The sequence below is a fragment of the Homo sapiens genome, chromosome 17 (genome assembly GCF_000001405.40).
Source record: "Homo sapiens chromosome 17, GRCh38.p14 Primary Assembly".
Classification (NCBI taxonomy): domain Eukaryota; kingdom Metazoa; phylum Chordata; class Mammalia; order Primates; family Hominidae; genus Homo; species Homo sapiens.
Genome location: NC_000017.11, coordinates 46,185,661 through 46,207,198, shown reverse-complemented (window position 1 = coordinate 46,207,198; position 21,538 = coordinate 46,185,661). Strand labels below are relative to the sequence as shown.

General features: G+C 42.3%; 1 protein-coding gene and 1 long non-coding RNA gene across 31 annotated transcripts in view; one reads left to right on the top strand and one right to left on the bottom strand.

The window, feature by feature from the left end:
- KANSL1 (KAT8 regulatory NSL complex subunit 1) overlaps positions 1–21,538 on the top strand; it is a 195,452-nt gene that overhangs the window by 18,169 nt on the left and 155,745 nt on the right. For 6 of the 30 annotated variants that reach the window (NM_001405860.1, NM_001405880.1, NM_001405877.1 and 3 more), the window contains exon 1: positions 13,770–14,376. The exons of 17 other annotated variants lie outside the window; for them this stretch is intronic. The gene's annotated coding sequence lies outside the window, so the exon portion shown is untranslated. Of the gene's footprint in view, positions 1–13,148; positions 13,450–13,769; positions 14,377–14,416; positions 14,781–21,538 lie in introns of those variants that run through there. 7 more of the 30 variants (NM_001405878.1, NM_001405858.1, NM_001405874.1 and 4 more) reach the window with 2 other exon arrangements.
- Positions 10,476–13,626, bottom strand: KANSL1-AS1 (KANSL1 antisense RNA 1). Its single transcript, NR_034172.1, has 2 exons — positions 13,461–13,626; positions 10,476–10,831 (listed from the first exon to the last, which is right to left on the bottom strand). It is a non-coding gene; the product is annotated as a KANSL1 antisense RNA 1 (long non-coding RNA).

Below are 21,538 nucleotides of genomic sequence, written 5' to 3'. Positions count from 1 at the left end.
GACTCAAGGGTTCCTTCTGCCTCAAGCTCCTGAGTAGCTAGGACTACAGGTGTGTGCCACCATGCCTGGCTAATTGTTTTTTTTTATTATTATTAATTTATTTTGTAGAGACAGGGTCTTGCTATATTGCTCTGGCAGGTCTCAGAATCCTTGCCTCAAGGGATCCTCTCCTTCTGGTGTGAGCCACCATGCTCAGCCTTTGCCCATTTTAAAATTGGATTCTCTTTTTATTGTTGAGTTGTAAGAGTTCTTTAAATATACTAGATACAAATCCCTTGTGAGATACATGATTTGCAAATATTTTCTCCCATCTATGGGTTGTGTTTTCAATTTCTTGATGGTGTCCTTTAATGTACAAAATGTTATAATTCTGATGAAGCCAAATTTACTTGTTTTTTCCTTTGTTGCATGTGGTTTTGATGTCAGGCCACCAAATGAAATGAAGATTAGCTTTGTTTTCTTCTAGGAATTTTATTGTTTTAGCTGTTACATTTAGGTCTATAATCCGTGTTTAAATTTAATTAGAATTAATTTTTGTGTATGGTGTGAGATATAGTGGTCCAGCTTCATTCTACTGCATGTGAATATTCAGTTGTCCCAGCATGGTTTGTTGAAAAGACCATTGTTTGTTTCTTGTAGAGATGGGGGTCTTGCTTTGTTGCCCTGGCTAGTCTCAAACTCCTGGCCTCAAGCAATCCTCCTGTCTCAGCCTCCCCAAATGCTGGGATTATAGGTGTCAGCTACAGCACTTGGCTTAAAAAGACCATTCTTTCCTCCACTGAATTGTCTTGGCATTTTTGTCATAAAATCAATTGACTGTCAGTGTAAAGGTTTATTTCTGAACCCACACTTATATTCCATTGATCTGTATGTTTATCCTTATGCCACTACCACACTGTCTTGATTTCCATAGCTTTGAATTATGTTTTCAAATCAGGAAGTGTGAGTCCCCCAACTTTGTTTTTCCTATTCAAATTTCTTTTGGGTATGCTGGGATCACATTGATTCTGTAGATCAATTTAGGGAATATTGCCATTTTAACAGAGTTGTATCTTCTGATCCATTCTCATCCATGAACATGGGATATCTTTCCTTTTTTTTTTTTTTTTTTTTTTGGGGGACACAGTCTTGTTCTGTCATCCAGGCTGCAGTGAAGTACAGTAATGCAATCATGGCTCACTGCAGCTGTAACCTACTAGGCTCAAGTGATCTTCCCTCCTCAGCCCCCCAAGCAGCTAGGATTACAGGTGCATGCCACCACATCTAGCTCATTTTTGTATTTTTGTAGAGATGAGTTCTTGCCATGTTGCCTAGTCTGATCCTGAACTTCTGCGCTCAAGCAGCCCACCCACTTCAGTCTACCAAAGTGCTGGGATTACAGGTGTGAGCCATCACACCTGGCCTTTCCATTTAGTTAGGATTTCTGTAACTTCTTTTGTAATTTTTATATATCTCAGAGTATAAGATTGTCACTGCTTTTGTTAAATTTATTTCTAAGTCTTTTTTTTTTTTTTTTTTGAGACAGTGTCTCATTCTGTCACCTAGGCTAAAGTACAGTGGTGTGATCTCGGCTCATTGCAACCTCCGCCTCCTGGGTTCAAGTGATTCCACTGCCTCAGCCTCCTGAGTAGCTGGGATTACAGGCACCTGCCACCACACCCAACTAATTTTTATATTTTAGTAGAGACGGGGTTTCACCACGTTGGCTAGGCTAGTCTTGAACTCCTGACCTCAAGTGATCCGCCTGCCTCGGCCTCCCAAAGTGCTGGGATTACAGGTGTGAGCCATCGTGCTTGGCTTTCTAAGTCTTTTTTTTTTGGCGGGGGGATGCTATTGTAAGTGGAATTTTTAAAAACTTTTCATGTTCAGATTGCTTATTGCTTGTGTATAGAAATACGATTACTACTTGTATATTGAGCTTGTATCCTGTAACTGTGTTGGATGTGTTTATTGGCTCTAATAGTTTATTTGTGGGATTTTCTTAGGATTTTCTATATACAAGATTATATCATCTGCAAATAAAGGTAGTTTTCCTTCTTTTTTTTAAGCCTGAGTGATTTTTATTTCTTTTTCTTGCCTATTTGCCCTGGCCATAACCTTCAGTGCAGTGTTAAACAGAGTGGTAAGAGTGGATATCCTTGTTTTGTTCTTGACCTGAGGGAGAAAGCATTCAGGCTTTCTCCATTAAGTATGATTTTAGCTATGGGGTTTTTGTAGGTATTCTTTTTTTCCCCCATAGGTATTTTTTATTAGATTGAAGATGTTTTCTTCAATTTCTACTTTGTTGAGTGTTTTTATCATGAAAGCATGTTGGATTTTGTTAAGTGCTTTTTCTGCATCTATTCAAATGATCATGTGGTTTGTATCCTTTATTAATATGGTGTATTACATTAATTGATTTTCAGAAGTTAAGCCAACCTTGAATCCCTGGGATTAAGTCATACTTAGCAATGGTGTATAAGCCTTTTAATATGTTGCTGGATTCATTTTGCTTTGTTGAGGACTTTTACATCTGTATTCATAAGATATATTGGTCTGTAGTTGTCTTGTGATATCTATGTCTGGTTTTGGCATCAGAGTAATAATGGCTTTATTGAATGAGTTGAGATGTGTTCTTGGCTTCATCTTGGACTAATTTTGGTTGAACTTTGAACATTCATTTAGCAATTGTAAATTCTAATTGCCTAATTACTGAATGAAGATAATAATTAAAGATATAACTGTTTGTTTTTTTGAGATAGAGTCTTGCTCTGTTACCCAGGCTGGAGTGCAGTGGTGTGATCTCCGCTCACTGCAACCTCCACTTCCCAGGTTCAAATGATTCTTATGCCTCAGCCTCCCAAGTAGCTAGGATTACAGGCCCCTGCCACCACACTCAGCTAATTTTTGTTTTTAGTAGAGACTAAAGATACAAAAATTTTATCATGTTGGCCAGGCTGGTCTCGAACTCCTGACCTCAAGTGATCCTCCCAACTCAGCCTCCTCAAGTGCTGGGATTACAGGTGTGAGCCACCACACCCGGCCTTTTTGTTTATGTTTGTTTTAGAGATAGGGTCTTCCTATGTTGCCTAGGCTGGAGTACAGTGGCCTATGGTTTCAAGCACTCCTCCTGTCTCAGCCTCCCAAGTAGCTGGGACTAGAGGCACATGGCACACCCAGCTTGGTTGCCTTCCCCTGCTCCCCTACCCGTGAGACAGGGTCTTGCTATTTGTCCAGACTAGTCTAGAACTCCTAGGCTCAAGTAGTCTCTCCACCTCAGCCTCCCAAGTAGCTAGGATTACAGGCACATGCCACCACACTTGGTAGTCAACTATTTAAAAAACATCTATTATTTAACATTCAGGGTAGAGGTTCCAAGTATAGAACTTTAGATCCTTACTGCCTGCTTGGTTCCCTGGATTTTTTCTCCTAGTTTTATTTGGGGTACTTACTTTGTTATTTCATTTTGGTTATGCCATAAATAACACCCAATTTTAGCATTCCTGGGATGATTTAGGCAAGCTTCAGAAAAGAGTCCAGAAGAAAATGGAATTGGAAGCATAAAGCCACTAAAATTTTTTCATTGTTCTCTGATCATTTTTTAGCTTTGGATTTTTTGATCATTTAACGTATCAATGAGTAGAAAGGATTTTTCTTGACTACCACATAGCTTATAAAGTGACCGAGTATTCTTTCCTTAGAGATTCTACAGTGTTTAACATCCACTGGTACTCAGTATGTTTATGAATGAATATGTATTAATGGTAGGGCTTTTATAGGGTCTTATTTTACTGAAAATTGAAGATAATCATTCACATTTGGATTACAAGTGTTTGTGTTATGTTATAAACATTTAATGCCGTAGCCCAAATATTAACAAGCATGGTCATATTTTGGTATTGCCACGGTAGGTATTCTGGGAAGTGTGAGTAGTTGTTTTTTCCTACCCTCTGTGCTGAAGGATTTCTTTCTTTTTTTTTGAGACGGAGTCTGCTCTGTCGTTCAGGCTGGAGTGCAGTGGCGCGATCTCAGCTCACTGACACTGCAACCTCTACCTCCCGCTGGGTTCAAGCAATTCTCCTGCTTCAGCCTCCCGAGTAGCTGGGACTACAGGCGCATGCCACCACGCCTGGCTAATTTTTTGTATTTTAGTAGAGACGGGTTTTCACCATGTTGCCCAGGCTGGTCTCGAACTCCTGAGTTCTAGCAAACCACTGGCCTCGGCCTCCCAAAGTGCTAGTATTAGAGATGTGAGCCACCACGTCTGGCCTGAAGGACTTCTTATACCAAAGAAGATACAGTTTCATTTAACTATTTTATTTTATTTTTTCTGATGCTGGTTAAAGTTGGTTCATTTGGGACACATTTCATTAGATAAAATTGTGTTTAAATGTGATAGTGAGAATTTGGAATATGGTGGAAAATATTGAATATTATATTCTATAATTTTTGTCAGTCTAATTCAGAAACAAAAAAGATTGCAGTTGAGAAAATCATACATGATTTCTTTGTAAATGAGTTACAGAGATAAGACAGGACCTTTAGCATTTCCTGAATTCCAGTCATGTTCTCGGTAACTTATGGTCTCTTTTATAATATTGTACCCATGACAATTTATACGTTAGATTTCAGGTTTTATCTTCTGCCTGGAAGGATTACATTCAGGGGTTTTAGCCATGCATATTTATCTATAAATGGTCTAAACCAGTACCTCTTTATCTTTCCTTAAAGTACTTTTCAGGGTCTAGGGCTGTTTGGAGCTGTTTGTTACAAGCAGGACATATCTCTCTGAGGACTCCTTTTCTATCTTGAAACAGTGAGAATTCTGCCTTTTGCTCTGTATACATTGAATATCCCTTATCCGAAATGCTTGGGACCAGAAGTTTTTTGGATTTCAGATTTTTCAGATTTTGGGATGTTTGCATGTACATAATGTACTATCTTGGAGATGGGATCCAAATCTAAACATGAAATTCTATGTTTCATGTACACATTATGCACATAGCCTGAAGATAATTTCTTTTTTTTACCTTTTTCTTTAAGAGATGATGTCTCATACTGTTGCCCAGGCTGGAGTGCAGTAATGTGATCCTAGCTCACAGCAGCCTAGAACTCCTGGGCTCAAGTCATTCTCCTGCCTCAGCCTCCCAGGTAGCTGGTACTAACTGGTACAGATGCACGGTGCCAAGCCCAGCTAATTTTTTTGTTTGTTTGAGATGGGGTCTGATTCTGTTACTCAGGTTGGAGTGCAGTAGCGCCATCTCTGCTCACTGTAGCCTCCACCTTCCAGGCTCAAGTGATTCTCCCACCTTGGCTTCCTGTGTAGCTGGGACTACAGGTGCATGCCACCATGCCTGGCTAATTTTTTGTGTTTTTGGTAGAGATAGGTTTTGCTACATTGCCCAGGCCGGTCTTGAACTCCAGAGCTCAAGTGATTCACCTGCCATGGCTTTCCAGTGTTGGGATTACAGGCCTGAGCCACTGTACCTGGACTTAATTTTTTTTTTTTTTTCAGAGATAGGGTCTCACTATGTTGCCCAGGCTGGTTTTGAACTCCAGGGCTCAAATGATCCTCCCATCTTGGTCTCCCAAAGTGTTAGGATTACAGGCATGAGCTACCACAACCGACCAGTTTTATACAAAATTTAAAATAATTTTGTTCTTGAAATAAACAGTGTTTCTGATGGTTCAGAGAACCATCAGAAGCAAAGGTGTCACGTGTGGAATTTTCCATTTGAGGTGTCATGTTGGCACTCAAAAAGTTTCAGATTTTGGAGGGTTTTGAATTTTCAGATTAGGGATGGTCAACCTGTAATATATTTGTGTTTATTTTAACAAAAGTATATCTGATTTTACTATAATCCTTGATTAAATTGATACTCCAAAAAAGTTGCTCCTGCATATATTCAGTGGCTTTGGTTACTCCCCGTTTGTAGCTGTATGTTCCTGAGTGTACATAGAAACAAGTTCAAGAATCCAAGAATTAGTGGGTTAAAAATAATGTTCTAGGCTGGGCGTGGTGGCTCACGCCTGTAATCCCAGTACTTTGGGAGGCTGAGATGGGCGGATCACCTGAGGTCAGGATTTTGAGACCAGCCTGACCAACATGGCGAAACTCCGTCTCTACTAAAAATACAAAGATTAGCCGGGCATGGTGGTACGCGCCTGTAGTCCCACCTACTTGGGCAGCTGAGGTAGGAGAATCGCTTGAACCCAGGAGGTGGAGGTTGCGGTGAGCCCAGATTTTGCCATGCACTCCAGCCTGGCAGCCTGGGCAGCAGAGTGAGACTGTGTCTCAAAAAAAAAAAAAGTAATTCCCTTTCCAAGAATGGTATGCTGCTTCATTGGAGGAAACAGGTCTGCCATCTTCCAAAGTCCCTAGGTTTGCCATGCCATCAGAACAAGATTTTACAAGTTGCATCATAACTTAGAATCAGCAACTGACGTAAAAAGAAAAATATATATATATATATATTTTGAGACAGAGTTTCGCTCTGTCGCCCAGGCTGGAGTGCACTGGCGTGATCTCCGCTCGCTGCAAGCTCCGCCTCCCAGGTTCATGCCATTCTGCTGCCTCAGCCTCCCGAGTAGCTGGGACTACGGGTGCCCCCCACCATGCCCAGCTAATTTTTTGTATTTTTAGTAGAGACGGAGTTTCACCACGTTGGCCAGGATGGTCTCGATCTCCGGATCTCGTGATCTGCCCACCTTGGCCTCCCAAAGTGCTGGGATTACAGGCATGAGCTACCGCACCCAGCCTGTAAAGATATTTTTTAAGGTGTGTTTTGCCTTGTACACCTGCTGCCTCCTTTTCTCTTTGAACATTTTCCCTTCTGACTCACTTTTGTCAGGCCCTCCACAACTTGGCTGCTCACAGCTGCCTTGAAGTTCTGCATATTTACCTTTATGTTTCCTTTGGAAAAGAACTCAGGTAGTTTCTTGGTACATTTTGGCCAAATTCTGACACTCAGCTTTATTATCTGATAAAAAGTTTGGGTCCTGCGTAGATTGCTTAATCTGCAAAATCAGTATATTAGAATACTCCTTCTATGTTTGGTCATTGAACGTTCACACATTCTAGTTATTTGAGAATTTTAAAATATTCTAAAGTTAAAAACATTAGAATTAACTAAAATTCACCAAAATAATCAGGGTGTGTGTGTGTGTGTGTGTGTGTGTGTAAACTCATTGAGGAACTTTATTAAAATGTTCGTATAAAATCCTGCTTAAACTGCTTGCACTAGAAATGAGTGCTGGTAGCTGCTATTAAATCCACCACTGTGGAGAAGACCAACAATCTTGGGTGTTAGATTTTAACAATAGCTGATGGCCTGAGAGAACCTGACTTGTTTCTTTCAGTGATATAATTGTATTCAGCTGAGCTTTAATGTTGTCTTCTGAATTATCCTAAAGTAAATTATTTCTAGACTTACTAGTACATTTAGGTTTAACCTACAACAGTATTGTTCTCATTACTAACACAGTTAAATTAGGAGGCTGCCTAATAATTAGTTTTTCTTTTGTATGAATTATTGGGTCAGTTCTGTGGTGAGATGGCAAAATAATATCTTTATGTAAATCCTGCAGTTTGTATCAGTAGTATGAGGAGGAAAATATCTTGTTAGGTTGGATTGAAATGAAGGAATGCTATGCATTCTTGTAATACTTTGCCATTTATGAAATGCTTTTGTTTAATCTTACTGAAAGTTTGTTTCTACTGGATTCAGTCAGTACATAAAAATACTGTATGATATTTTGAATCAGCTAAGGCCTCCATTTAATGAAAAAAAATCTTGATTTCTGAGCTTTGTAGTCATTGTAATCAGTATGAGGATTTTCTTCTACTTGCATTTGGCTAAATCTTTATACTTGTGACACTGTGAAATAGGTAGTATGGTTTAGGTTTAATGCCTTTAGCATGTTTGCACATCCAGTTCACCAATTGAGTAGCACTGGTGAATTAGAAGTGGGAAAAGTGAGAATTGAAGACTGAGAGACCCTGATTCCAGCTTTGACGCTTTGGCAATCTCTTAACTGGCTTCTTTCTGTTGGCCTCATTTTCACACTAATAAAATGTGGCGGCTGAACATATTCCTTCTACATCCTAAATTTTTTGACTTAAATTTCTTAACTTTGGTTTAGTTGACTCTGGCTATTTAATATTTAGCTGGTTAAATATTAATGTGAGAACATGCCTCAGTTTCAGCTTAAAGATGTTTCTTTTATAATTTTAATATGGGTTTTTACATAGGTTTATGTGTTCATTTCTGTGATATCTAGAATAAATTCTTGAGCTTAATAGGTACTCACTAGATTTTTGTTGAATTAAATGTATTTGAAGTATTTAATGTGGCATTAGATTTATGATTGTAAATAATCATTCTCAGAATATGTTTTTAGGGAGCTAAAAGTATTTTTATATATAGTGTTATCTAAGTTCATGAATGAAAACATTGTTTGCTAGAGTCTAGACAGGGATTTTGTTTTTGAAACAGAGTCCCGCTCTGTCACTCAGGTTGGAGTGCAGTGGTGCGATCTTGGCTCACTGCATCCTCCACCTTGTGGGTTCAAGCGATTCTCCTGCCTCAGCCTCCCAAGTAGCTAGGACTATAGGCATGTGCCACAATGCCAGGCTAATTTTTGTATTTTTAGTTGAGACAGGGTTTCACCATGTTGCCCAGGCTGGTCTCAGACTCCAGGCCTCAGGTGATCCACTTGCTTCGGTCTCCCAAAGTGCTAGAATTACAGGTGTGAGTCACCACATCCAGGCTTTTTTTTTTTTTTTTTTTTTTTTTTTAATTAAAGTAGGTCCAAGTCCTAAGTAGATAGGTGTTTGAAGTTTGAATTAGGAAAGAGGTGCTGATTTTTGCTTCACTCAGATTTTAACCTTTAAAGTTTAGAACTGTGGAAAATAGCTTCATTCACTAATAATAATAGTTAAACTTAAGAGGTAGGTGGTATTACTATCTCCATTTTACAGAGCAGAATACGTACTTTGCCCAAAGTAACACAAAGAATAAGTGAGGGAGGCAGGATTAGAATCGGGCTACCTAGGTCCTGTGTGCTTAAGTACTACACTCTACCTTTTTCATTTATTCAGTCAGTTCTTATGATGTGTCTCTTTTGTGCCAGGCCCTGGGCTAGGTCCTAGGTAAGTAACCAAAAAAATGGGCCCCTGTGCTTTTGAAACTAAATGGCCTAGGCTTTAGAACTTGTCCTGAGTTAATATATAATAATTGCTTTTTCTTAAGTGCAAAAAAAGTTATTCATTGTCCTTTTGAGATTAGTTTGGACATACGAGGTACTGAATTTGTGAGATTATTCTGTTTAGGAATTTCTGGCTTGTTTAGAAGGTCTGTGGCAGGGAAGGTAGAGAGTGCCTTTTTGGAATACGTTTATTATCTATAGATGAGTTACAGATCTTAAATTAGAACAACCACAGTTCCTGCCTGCAAGGGCTTTCAGGCTGGCTTGAGGTGGCAAGACTGGTATATGAAAACAAACTCAGAGGAATTACAGACAGCATTTAACCAAGGGTAATGTAGTGCCAACTCTGTACATTATTGGTTCTTTTTTTGAGACACAGTCTCCTTCTGTCGCGTAGGCTGGAGTGCAGTGGTGTGATCTTGGCTCACTGCAACCTCTGCCTTCCGGGCTCAAGTGATTCTCATGCCTCAGCCTCCCGAGTAGCTGGAACTACAGGCGTGCACCACCATGCTTGGCTACTTTTTGTATTTTTAGTAGAGGCGGGGTTTCACCATGTTGGCCAGGCTGGTCTCGAATTCCTGGCCTCAGGTGATCTGCCTGCCTTGGCCTTCCAGAGTGCTGGGATTACAGGCATGAGCCACCACGCCCAGCCTACATTATTGTCAAGTGAAGTGAGTAGACGATAACAGTGGTGTGGTGGAATATAAGAGGATAACATGAGTTGTAGGTGGATTGGAGAGAGGAATTAACAAGGAATGGTGGTAATGAGGGATGGTCCTCTTTTTCTAGGTAGAGAGAACACAGACAAAGATGGATGGATACAGAGCTGTGTGTAAGAGGGAACACCTTTTCCTTTTTTCTTTCTTTCCTTCCTCCCTTCCTTTCTTTTTCTTTTTTTGGAGACGGGGTGTTGCTCTGTTGCCCAGGCTGGTTTGCAGTGGCGTGATCATGGTTCACTGCAGCCTTGACCTCCTGGGCTCAAGTGATCCTCCTGCCTGAGCCTCTGAGTAGCTTGGACTACAGGTGTATGCCACCACCCCCGGCTAAATTTTTTTATTATTTATTTTTTGAAGAGATGAAGTTTTGCTGTTTTCCCTGGGCTGTTCTCAAACTCCTGGGCTCAAGCAATACTCTCACATTGGCCTCTCAAAGTGCTGGGATTATAGGTGTGAGCCACCATGCCTGGCCATGGAATGTCTTTTCTGAGGAAGAAATAATAAGATTAGTTATATAAAATACTGTAATCATAAAGTAAGATACAAATACTAAAAAACATTAGAACTCAATCATTGTTTTTTGACTTCATTTATTATATAAGGAACCTAACTCAAATTGGCTTAAGCAATTAATAAATGTTTATTGTTACATTGTTGTAATGTGGCTGGAAATCCAGAAGTCATACAAATTGTCAGGATTGGTTGATACAGTGGCTTAATGCTATCACCAAGGACCAACTCTCTATTCCCTTTGATGTTGGTGGCATCTTCAGGCTTGCTGCAAAGGTGACTGTAGCAGTTTGAGGTGTCACTGTCTGAGGAAGAGGGACTGTTTTTTCCTCCATCATTTTTAGGATTGAAGAACCTTTTCTCACAGTTCTCTTTTGGAGGCTGTCCAGGGGGCTTCTACTCACATCTCATGGCCATTCCTAACCAATCATTGGCAAAGAGAATGGGTTAAAACTAATCAGAATAGAGTGGATATTGGAGAGTCAACATGACTATTCCAAGAGTGATTTGAAATATGTTGGTGTTTTTATTTTTTTATCACTTTTCATTTTGAGATGGTCTCGCTCTGTTGCCCAGGTTGGACTACAATGGCATGATCATGACTCACTGCAGCCTTGACCTCCCAGGCTCAAGCAATCCCCTCAGCTTCTGGAGTAGCTGGGACTGTAAGCACATGCTACCACACTTGGCTAATTTAAAATTTTGTTTGTAGAGATAGGGTCTCACTCTGTTGCCCAGGCTGGTCTCTAACTCCGGAGCTCAAGTGATCCTCCCACCTCACCCTCCCAAAGTGCTGGGATTACAGGAGTGAGCTGCTGCACCAGGCCTTTTTCTTTAAATCTTTTTTTGTTTGTTTGTTTTATTTTGTATGTAGGTGTTTTCAATCAGCCTTTTGGACATCCACTATTTTTTGGGGGGAAATTTAAGAAAATTTGTTTCTCTTCATAAGATTTTTGTGTGGTGGCTCATGCCTGTAATGCCAGCACTCGAGTCCAGGAGTTCGAGACCAGCCTGGGCAACATAGGGAGACTCTGTATCTACCAAAACAAAAAGGAGTGAAAAAAATAACAGCTGGGCATGGTGGCATATGCCTGTAGTGCCAGCTACTCAAGAGGCTGAGGTAGGATCGCCTGAGCCTGGGAGGCTGCAGTGAGTTTGATTGCACCACTGCACTCTAGCCTGGGCAACCGAGCAGGACCCTGTCAAAAAAATAAAAGTACAAGTGGATGCCTAATAAGAAAGATGTCTGATTTTAGATAAGAATATACAACAGGTTGACTGATTTAAGTGCCATAAACCCTGTGAACTCTTGACTCTTGCACTAAGCAATGAGAGAAAGGGGAAACTGGAATTTATAGTTCCCCCAAATACATGGTTTTAAAAATGAGCATTTTCCAGTTTTCTCCTAATCCATTAGAAAAATATATTTCATATAATCTTGCTTATTTGGTTGCCTAATTAAATCTGACAGTTCAGTCTTAAAAATTTGGAGCAGCAGTAAGATTATTTTGTTATGGTGTGTCTGAATTTAATATTTAAGTATACGCTGCAAAGGGCTTTGCCTTATTTGGTATTTTTCATTCTGCTAATTTAGATTTCAGGAGCCTCAGATTGGGGCTCTAGTTCGCCATCTGTTGGTCCAATACCCTTCTACTGTATTTTGTGGAATTACTATTTATGTGTGTATGTGTGTACAATAAAAAAGTCAAAGTTTTTCCCCAGGGTTGTAAATTAAAAATCCAAGACTAAAGACCTCTTTTGGATGTGTATACAAATATTAGTTTATTCTTTGTGTAATTTGACCCTATGACTCCAAACTGCCTGCCTTTGGTATTTGAGAACTATGACTATGCTTGAGAGTGTGATTTTAGGAGTACAAATGGAAATTCGCAGAAACCTAGGTGCAGATGTTGCAGGGGCAGGTGAGTTAGTGTAACTTTGTGGGAAGACTAAAACCGTTCTGTAACGACTGTGAGGGTGTTTTTTGATAAGCAGAAGTGACGTATAATGCCGGATATTGGTTCTGGTAAGCCACAAAAAAGTGTGAAGCATTTTGCGTCTTCCTTTTTGGTAGTAGAGCATACATACCCTTCTTATCTGCCGAATTTGATGATTTAATGATTTGAACGATTTTTTCTTCAGTCATTTAAGCCAGTTTTGATGAATCCTAGATTAGTCTTTTAAATCTCAAGATACTCCACTCATCTTTTGGCAACTTTAAAGGGTGGTAGAATTACACTTTGTGTGACACTTTGTATTACATTATGTTTATGAATTCTTTAAGTCTAGGAAAGGTTCCATTATTTTAAAGGTCCTATTTTGGGGACAATATAAAGTTCTGTACTGATAAACTGGTCATGAGAAATGATAAGGTGCCACCACTTTAAACCAACTCTGGTAACGAGGTGGGAAGTTGGCTTTTTGTTGTGAGACTTGTGTTTCTTTATGGAGTTCTTTGTTAAACTTTTAGCATGGCAGTGAACTTCCTTTTGGTGGCGGCAGGAAGCATAAATACTCATTGTGTAATGCCATTTGCCTGTTTTGGCGGATCTGCCAAGCCATGACACCCAAAACAAGACGCGTGTTTCTTCACGAAAACTACAGTTCCCAGCGGGCCCGGCGCCGGCGGGGCCATCACTTCCCCTCTGGCTCCCGGCTGTCCCTTCCCGGGCTGGCCCGGCGCGGGCCCTGGCTGGGGCCTGCGCAGTGACTACGTGCACCCTCCCCACCCCGCCCAACTCTGGTGGCTGCGGAGCGCGGTGCTGGGGCTAGTGCCCAGCCGTGCTGCAGTATACGGAGGCTGGCTGCTAGGGACAAAGGGCGGGCGGCGGAAGCCGCTTCACTGGTCAGGGAGCTTTCTGCAGGGTTAGCCTTGGAATAGTGTGGTGCCGACGGCCTTACCCTCTTTACTACACAGTGCAAACAGTTCCTCGCTCACGTCCTCTCGCTCCGCGGCGCCGGCCCGCCCTGCCCCTCAACTGGCGAGCCGCACCGCCGGCCCCAGCACGGAGGGCATGTGACGGCGTCAGTGCCTCAGGTTAGACTCACCTCGGCCGCAGCGAGGGCTGGCTTCCCCCTGCCGCAGTGCTGCGTGCCGTCGCCGCACGTCCGGGGCAGCTGGGGCCGGGCGCCGCGGCCTCCGCAGATGGAGGTACAAAAACATCGGCCACGGCGAGGAGCCATGACTGAGGCGGCGGCGGCCGCGCCTCCTGGCGGCCCGCGGGGGCGGCGCGGCGGGCGCCCCCTGGCGGCGCGCCGGGGTGGAGCGGCCCTTCGCCGCCGCAGCCGCAGCCGGCGGAGGCGCTGCTGTCCCTCCTCCCCGTGTCCCCGGCGCTCGCCCGCTTGCTCGCTCGCTCCATTCTCCCTCCGCTTCAGATTAAAGGGGGGGAGGGAAAAGGAGCTCGGCCGCCATTTTCCCAGTGCCGCCGCCACCGCCGCCACCGCTCGCCGAGCCGGCGGGAGAACCGAGCACCGTAGCGAAGCCGACTCGTCTCGCCGCGGCGGCGCGGGGGGCGGCTGAAGCGCGCTCCCCGGCTGGAAAGAGGCGGCCGGGGGTGGCGGCCTGGGTGCGGGTTCGGGCTGCAGACGGCGGTGCTTGTTTGTGCGGGGCGGGGGGGCGGTTTCACTCTCTGCCCCCGCCCGCCCGCCCTCCCGGCCGGGCTGCGGTCTCCAGCCGTGCTCGGGCCCCGTCGGTGCGGAGCAAGGCCGGGAAAGGGCCCGAAAGAGAAGAAAAAGCAGCCGCTCCCCGCCGCCGCCTTCCCCTCCCCCTCTGCCTCGCCCCCCCGCCCGGAAAGTCAGGGCGGCTCCGGGCGTCGGGGGGAGGAGAGCGGCGGGCCCGGGCCGGAGCCGCCGTCGCGCGCCCCCGCCCGCCGCTGGCCCTCGGCGCCCAGGCCGGGGGGCTGTTTGCAAACTGCGCCCATTTTGTGGGGCTGAATCCGCCCGGGCTACGCTCCTCCATCACGTGGTAGGTGCTGCTGCTGCTCCTCTCCTCCTCCTCCTGCTGCCCTTTCTCCTTCTCCTCGCTCTCCCTGTGGCTCCCATTTCTCTCTCTCTTTGTTAGTTGTAACTAGAAAGGCAGGGCAGGGTAGAAAAATCCCCCGGAACTTTAAATGGCCTCTCCGGGCTTCCCTGCTGCGGGTCCGGGCTGGGAGTCGCCCCAAGGGCGGGGGTGTGCGGGGGCCCTTCCCCAGGAGCTGCCGCCTCGTTCGCCAGCTTTTCCTTTGGCGTTCTATTTAAAAAGGCGGCCTGAAGAACATGATTTATTCCCGTAAAAGAACCCCCCAAACAAACTCTGGCTCTCGCCTTGAACTTCTCTTGACTGCAAAAGGCCTTTCTCTGCTCGAAACACACATCTTGGCGCGTTGCACGGTTTGTATCACAACTCTGATTGTTTCATTTATTATTTTTGTTGCCTGTAAATTCAGGTCACTTACGTTTTCAGATGTAGTCTCCCTCAGGCGGACTTTTTTTTTTTTTAAACTAAAGAGGAAGAGGGATTTATTTGCTTTTAAGTGAGTTGGAATCTTAACTGCCTTTTTGGGGGCCTGTTTTCCGGCTGACGGTCTTTTGATTCTTAGCAAATAGTTTGTTTTCCATACGATAAACAGCGCTACTCCCGTGTCTTACTTAAAAATCCTCGTTTTCCAATGTTGGAATCCCAATGTGGATTTATAGAGAAACGTGCTACTTAACTATTGCTTACTGATTGCTTTAGGGGAGAAGGGGTGACATGATGGCGCCACTTTAAATTGCTCTCTTTCCTTTTCCTCGGTCCCCCCCACCCCCCTTTATCCTGGAGGTCACTGGAGCATTTTCTGTGACTTATTAATAAAACTGTACTTGAGGGTGTTAGAAGCACAACTCGTAGGGGCTGGAGTTTAGTGCTCCTAGGGTCGGCAGACCGACTGCCGCGGTCCCCAAAGTTCCGAGAAATCTCTCTTCCTCCAGCCTCGCCTCCCTCCCCTCCATTCACAATCCTGGTGTTGCCATCTCCTTTGTCACGTGGCTAGCAATCATTGTGTTTTTTTGTTTGTTTTGGGGTGTGTGTTTATATTTTTAAATTGCAGCTCAGAGGAACCTTTCCTTTTCGCTTTGGAGAGATCAAAACGTTTTACTTGTTTTAGTTTTAGAGTCGGAGAACATTTTAAAATAAACGATAAAATTACATAATCTTTGCCTTGCATAATCATGATATAGTTATAGATTGCTACTGAACTTCATTTTGAAAGTCCTTTCAAGTATGGAAACTAGTACGTTAGAATATGTTTTCCATTTGTCAGGATGGTCTGTAATTTCTGTTTTCTCTGCTTTTTGGGTCAGTTAAAGGACCACTATTTACAAAGGCTTAAGTGGGTGTGTTTTCCCTTTCCCCTTTCCTATAGGCTCTACTTGGTTCCTTTTCTAGCATGCTGTCTGACCAATTTAGAAAATTTCAATTGTCTACAGGCGTTGTCAGTTAAAACTATTTTTTTAACCTATCAACAGTGAATACTTTTGAGTAGTAATTGTTTTGTGCCTAATGCTAAGTGTATTTATTAGCATTTCGGTGTTGATCTAGAAAATTTTTACTTTTAATCCTGTAGTTTTAGAAGTATGTTATTCCTTTATCTGTTTCTTTATATCAGTTTTTCCCATAATTGGGTAAACTCCTATTTTATAAAATACGAAGTACATTTCTGGTTTTTTCTACATAGGTTACTAGACATTTTTTCAATTTGAAAAAACATTTTGAATTAAGAAACTTTTTTTTTAAAGTAAATACGAAATGTGGTTCTTGAGTATGCATTGATCCTGATTTACCATGTACATTGTCAATGGTTTGGACCATTTTCTTTGCTAACAGTTACATCATGTCATGTGATATGTGCAGTGTGATGTGTAGTTCTAAAAATAAGGCAAGGTAAAAATGCTCATCCCTTGGGAATTTAAAAAATGTATTATAAATGTGGAATAACTACCTTCAGTCATGAAATTCTGAATTGGATTTCCACTAGGTTTATGCAACAAAGTGTGCCGTTCCTTCGACCTTTAGCATATTTGGTGTATTTGTTAGTACCTCATAATTTGAGGTGATTGACTTTTTATTTTTTGAACTACTTGGAGGGAAACATTAAATGTTACAAAGGTTCTTAATGTCTATATTATGGTGAAGATGGTTGTCACTGATGGCCACCTCATTTGAGTATATACCAGTGTCTGTGATTGTGACCAGTTAAAAGAATGATCAGTTAAGAATTATTAGAGCCTTTATGGTAGGGTGGGATTTTCGGTCTTTCCATCTATATGAGTCCACTGAAGTGAAGTATTTTAGAAGTTTTCTTGCATCTTTTCTGAAAGCCACGTTCAGAACATTCGTATTTGACTTTGGTGCTTTACCAACGTGAGATGTTAAATTTTTGTCTGATTTTCTTTCTTCCTGCCTACACATGTTATTTCTCTGGTTAAACCTGCAGAGCACTCTTTGTTACGTGAGTGTTTCCTGTTGAGGAAAATTCTGGAAGTTAGAAAATGAGTAGGCCTTAGTTCACTTGTGAACTCATATCAAGGTGAGAAGAAAGTGAAGTAACTATACTAAACTTTTTTCTTCACTGTCACTAAGGCTACTCTTCCATCTCTAGTAATGCTACATTGTAACCAGTGTCTCTGCGTCTTCTGTAGAGGATTGAGTTGACCACAGGTTTTAATTGCATTTTAAAGTGAATAAGAAGTTTTAGGTTTGTTCTGTTCGTTATGACCTGATTTGTGTACTCTGTAAACATAGGGGTGTTGTGGTTGTTTGAGAAGGTATTTTAGTATTGAGAGGTTCTGATTAGGCCCCTTTGCGAGTAAAGCTTAGTTACCTTGTTATATCAGGCAAGCAATTTTTTTTTTTTTTTTTTTTGAGGCAGGGTCTCGTTCTGTCGCCCATGCTGGAGTGCAGTGGTGCTATCTCAGCTCATTGCAGTCTCCGCCTCCCAGGTTCAAGCGATTCTCGTGCCTCAGCCGCCTGGGTAGCAGGGACTACAGGCATGTGCCATTGGGACTACAGGCGTGTGCCACCATGCCCAGCTAAGTTTTGTATTTTTAGTAGAGACGGGGGTTTCACCATGTTGGCCAGGCTGGTCTCGAACTCCTGACCTCAAGTGATCCACCTGCCTCGGCCTCCCAGAAGTGCCGGAATTACAGGCATGAACCACTACGCTTAGCCTAGACAAGCAATTTTTAAAATGTGCTATAAAACACCAAACTAATCCACACTGGATTTTCTAAACATAGTAAACGCCATGTTTAAAGAGTAATGCGTATTCCTTTTATGTTTTTTCAGCTTGTGGGGAGATGGGTAGGGGCTATTTTTTTCTTCTTGGTGAGTCCATTAAGACACAGAAATAAGCGACTTTCTTGCTAGATAGATGTATATAGTTTTATTGTCCCTCTCCACCCCCCAACAAAGGACCTCTCCGTTCCATTCCTTGAGTTTAGAGGGGAGGGACTAGGGTAAACTGAATAAGTGGTTGTCTGTTGATTGCCCCAGAGTAAATCTTATTGAGTGGTTTAGAGATTTTGTTTCTTTTTCATTTTAGAGACGAGGTCTCGGGGTCTCGCTGTGATTCCCAGGTTGGCGTGCACAGATGTAATCATTGTGCGCTACAGTTTAGAGTGCCTGAACTCCGGGGCTCAAGTGATCTTCCTGCCTTAGCCTCCTGAGTAGGTTGAGCAACGGGAGCATATAACCTTGCTTGTCTTTTTTTTTTTTTTTTTTTTTTTTTTTTTTTTTTTGAGACAATCTTTGCTCTGTTGCCCAGGCTGGAGTGCAGTGGCGCGATCTTGGCTCACTGCAACCTCCACCCCTAGGGTTCTAGCGATTCTCCTACCTCAGCCTCCTGCGTAGCTGGCATTACAGGTGCCCACCACCACGCCTGGCTAATTTTTTTCTATTTTTAGTATAGATGGGGTTTTGCCATGTTGGCCAGGCTGGTGTTGAACTCCGGACCTCAGGTGATCCACCCACCTCAGCCTCCCAAAGTGCTAGGATTATAAGCGTGAGCCACCGGGCCTGGCCCCTTGCTTGTCTTATTTAGAGTTTTAAAGCAGCTTTCGTTGTACTCTTTCTTCATTTTAAATGTTCCTGCCTTGAGTGATTTGATTAGTCTATGTCTTGGGAAGCGTATTTTACCTTAGTGCCTCTTTACTTACTTACCTTAAGAAAGGAGTACAGGGCAGGTTCTTAAGTAAAATGGCCCCAGACACCTGGCTTGCCTACTGTGTCAGTGCAAAGAACACTTGGATCATGTCTTTTTCCTAAAATTGGACTTCATAACTGTTTCTTGGAAGTCTGTTTTAAGACTTTTTTAGTTCTCATGTTGCTTCTGAAGATGTATGTTTAAATTACAGTTTCTATGCTGATAAGTTGCGTATATACCTCTGGGCATACTAAAAGTTGTGCAGAACAATAGTTTATATGACAAGATAAGTTTCCCTCATCAGTACTTCCCATTCCCTGAAATGTGAGATCAAAACTCAGTTGAACCACACTATGGCTGTAGAAGACAGTATGAATTAGAAAAGACAAATATCCACTGTACTAGAGTTCACCAGCGTTTGAAGGCTATCAGAAGATATAGGAGGTAAGTGATATCCTTGGGTGTCACTTGCAGATTGAGGGGAGGATTGTGGGTCATAGGAGATGACTAGTATGGCAGGGGGTAACTATTATTATTTGTTTCTTTTTTAAGCCATGTGCCTTTTAGGATGTAGAACAAAATACATAGGAGAAAATAAGCCAAAAGGTGTGATTTACCAAAATACTTGGACTCCAAAAAGAGCTGCAATATATATTTTTTTTTATTAAGCATTTTCTTGTCTTTGGTAGAATAAAGGTAAAGCTAAAATAGAGTGCGGAAACTGACTTGACCAAAGTAGAAAACACAGCTCATGTTTATGAATCAAAAACAAATGAGTTTGGGCAGTCTGAAAGAAAAAAATCAAACATTTTATATGAAGATTTTAAACCTTTATGCAAAGAGTCCCTTTAAGGTGGAAGAGACCTTTTAAATAGAGTAGACCTTCCCCATTTAGTAGCACAATGCGGCAAAATAGTTGTTTAATAAATGTTACTTTCTGCAAGCCTTGCTTTTCCAAGATTTTAAGCTGCTTCCACAGTGTTAACATTTGAAAGCCCTCTACCAGGAAATTATTTAGCTGTGTATTTTATTGTTGCTGACTGTGAACTTACCCTTTTTTTTCCTGGCTGTAATTTTTTTAGAATTAAAGTTTCTTTCCAAGATTTTGAGGGTCAGGAAATGCAAAGTGGAGGTAGATTGAGTGCAGTTTTATCTAAATGTTATTTTAAAAACTCTGGTTCTTGTAACCTGAACCAGGAATCCAAAATGAGATCTTACTCTGAATTTTAATTACAGCAGATTCTGCTCTTATTTGGAAAAAGTTGCTTGAGTGACATCAAACTTAATGGAGTCCCTCACCTTTTAATTCCTTTTTAAAAAGGGGAGAGCTTAAGGTTAGACTTGGTTAAATTCAGTTGGAAGGTAAGTATTAGGGAATAAAAAAGAGGAATAACAATTTTGTTGTTAGGATGTTAAACCAAAAATTGCTAAGAACTCATATCTAGACTTTCCTCTTGCTGCTTGTTATTTGGCCTTTGTGACTGTTTGTTAGCACCTCCACCAGAGGGTGTGAAGGGAAAGAGGCTCAAAGCTAAGTACTGTAGCTAGTTTCTGGTTTCTAGTATAGGAGAGACACTTCATAGAAATACCAGCCTGGGCTGGGTGTGGTGGCTCATGCCTGTAATCCCAGCACCTTGGGAGGCCGAGGCGGATCACCTGAGGTCAGGAGTTTGAGACCAGCCTGGCTTAACATGGTGAAACCCTGTCTCTACTAAAAAAAAAAACAGCAAAAATTAGCTGGACATGGTGGCGCATGCCTGTAGTCCCAGCTACTCAAGAGGCTGAGGCAGGAGAATTGCTTGAACCTGGAGGCGGAGGTTGTAGTGAGCCGAGATCGCACCACTGCACTCCAGCCTGGGCGACAGAGAGAGACTTCGTCTCAAAAAAAAGAAAAAAGAAATACCAGTCTGATAAGTTGAACTGTCAGGAAAGTTTCATTAAACTCTCCATATGTTACCATGGAGAACTGAAGCTCTTTGAAGACCTTAAGCATGTCTCCAAAAAATTGGACTGTATTTTTTTGCACTTAGTGATTTACTCCTTACCCCTTGCCTCCCAAGAGAATGAAAAATGGATATTAGTATTGACTTAACATTTTATTGGCATTGGAAAAATGTACTTTTAAAAGTCATTAATTGACTTTTCTCTAAAGGTATAAGGTAGGTTTCAGTGGGAACTCAGGAATTTGGCCATGGACCCTCCCAGAATAACCTGTTTCCTTTAGAATTCTTTTTTTTTTTTTTTGAGACACAGTCTCGCTCTGTGCCCCAGGCTGGAGGTGCAGTGGCGGGATCTCAGCTCACTGCAAGCTCTGCCTCCTGGGTTCATGCCATTCTCCTGCCTCAGCCTCCCGAGTAGCTGGAACTACAGGTGCCCGCCATCATGCTCAGCTAATTTTTTTTTTTTTTTGCATTTTAGTAGAGACGGGGTTTCACTGTGTTAGCCAGGATGGTCTCGATCTCCTGACCTTGTGATCCACCCGTCTCGGCCTCCCAAAGTGCTGGTATTACAGGCATGAGCCACCGCGCCCGGCCTCCTTTAGAATTCTTAAAATCTTCCAGAAGTCGCTGATTTTAGGATTGTTCAGGAGCACTTACACCAACCATTAGGGCTTGTTGGAAAGAGATATGATAAAAAGTATGATTTTTTTTTCCTCTGTCTTTTGTCAGCTAAAGAGTGGTAGGAAATTTGAATTCAGTGCTAGCATAGAAGTAGGATTAACACCATTAATAGTTTGATATATAGACATCCTTCAGAAAAAAAAGTTTTCTTGAGATGGTATCTTGCTATGTTGTCTAGGCTGGTCTTGAATTCCTGGGCTCAAGCAGTCCTCCCACCTTGACTTCTAGAGTAGCTGGTATTACAGGCATGAGCCATGGGGCCTAGCCTATCCGTGTGTGTGTGTGTGTGTGTGTGTGTGTGTGTGTGTGTGTGTATATATGTGTGTGTATATATATGTGTATATAT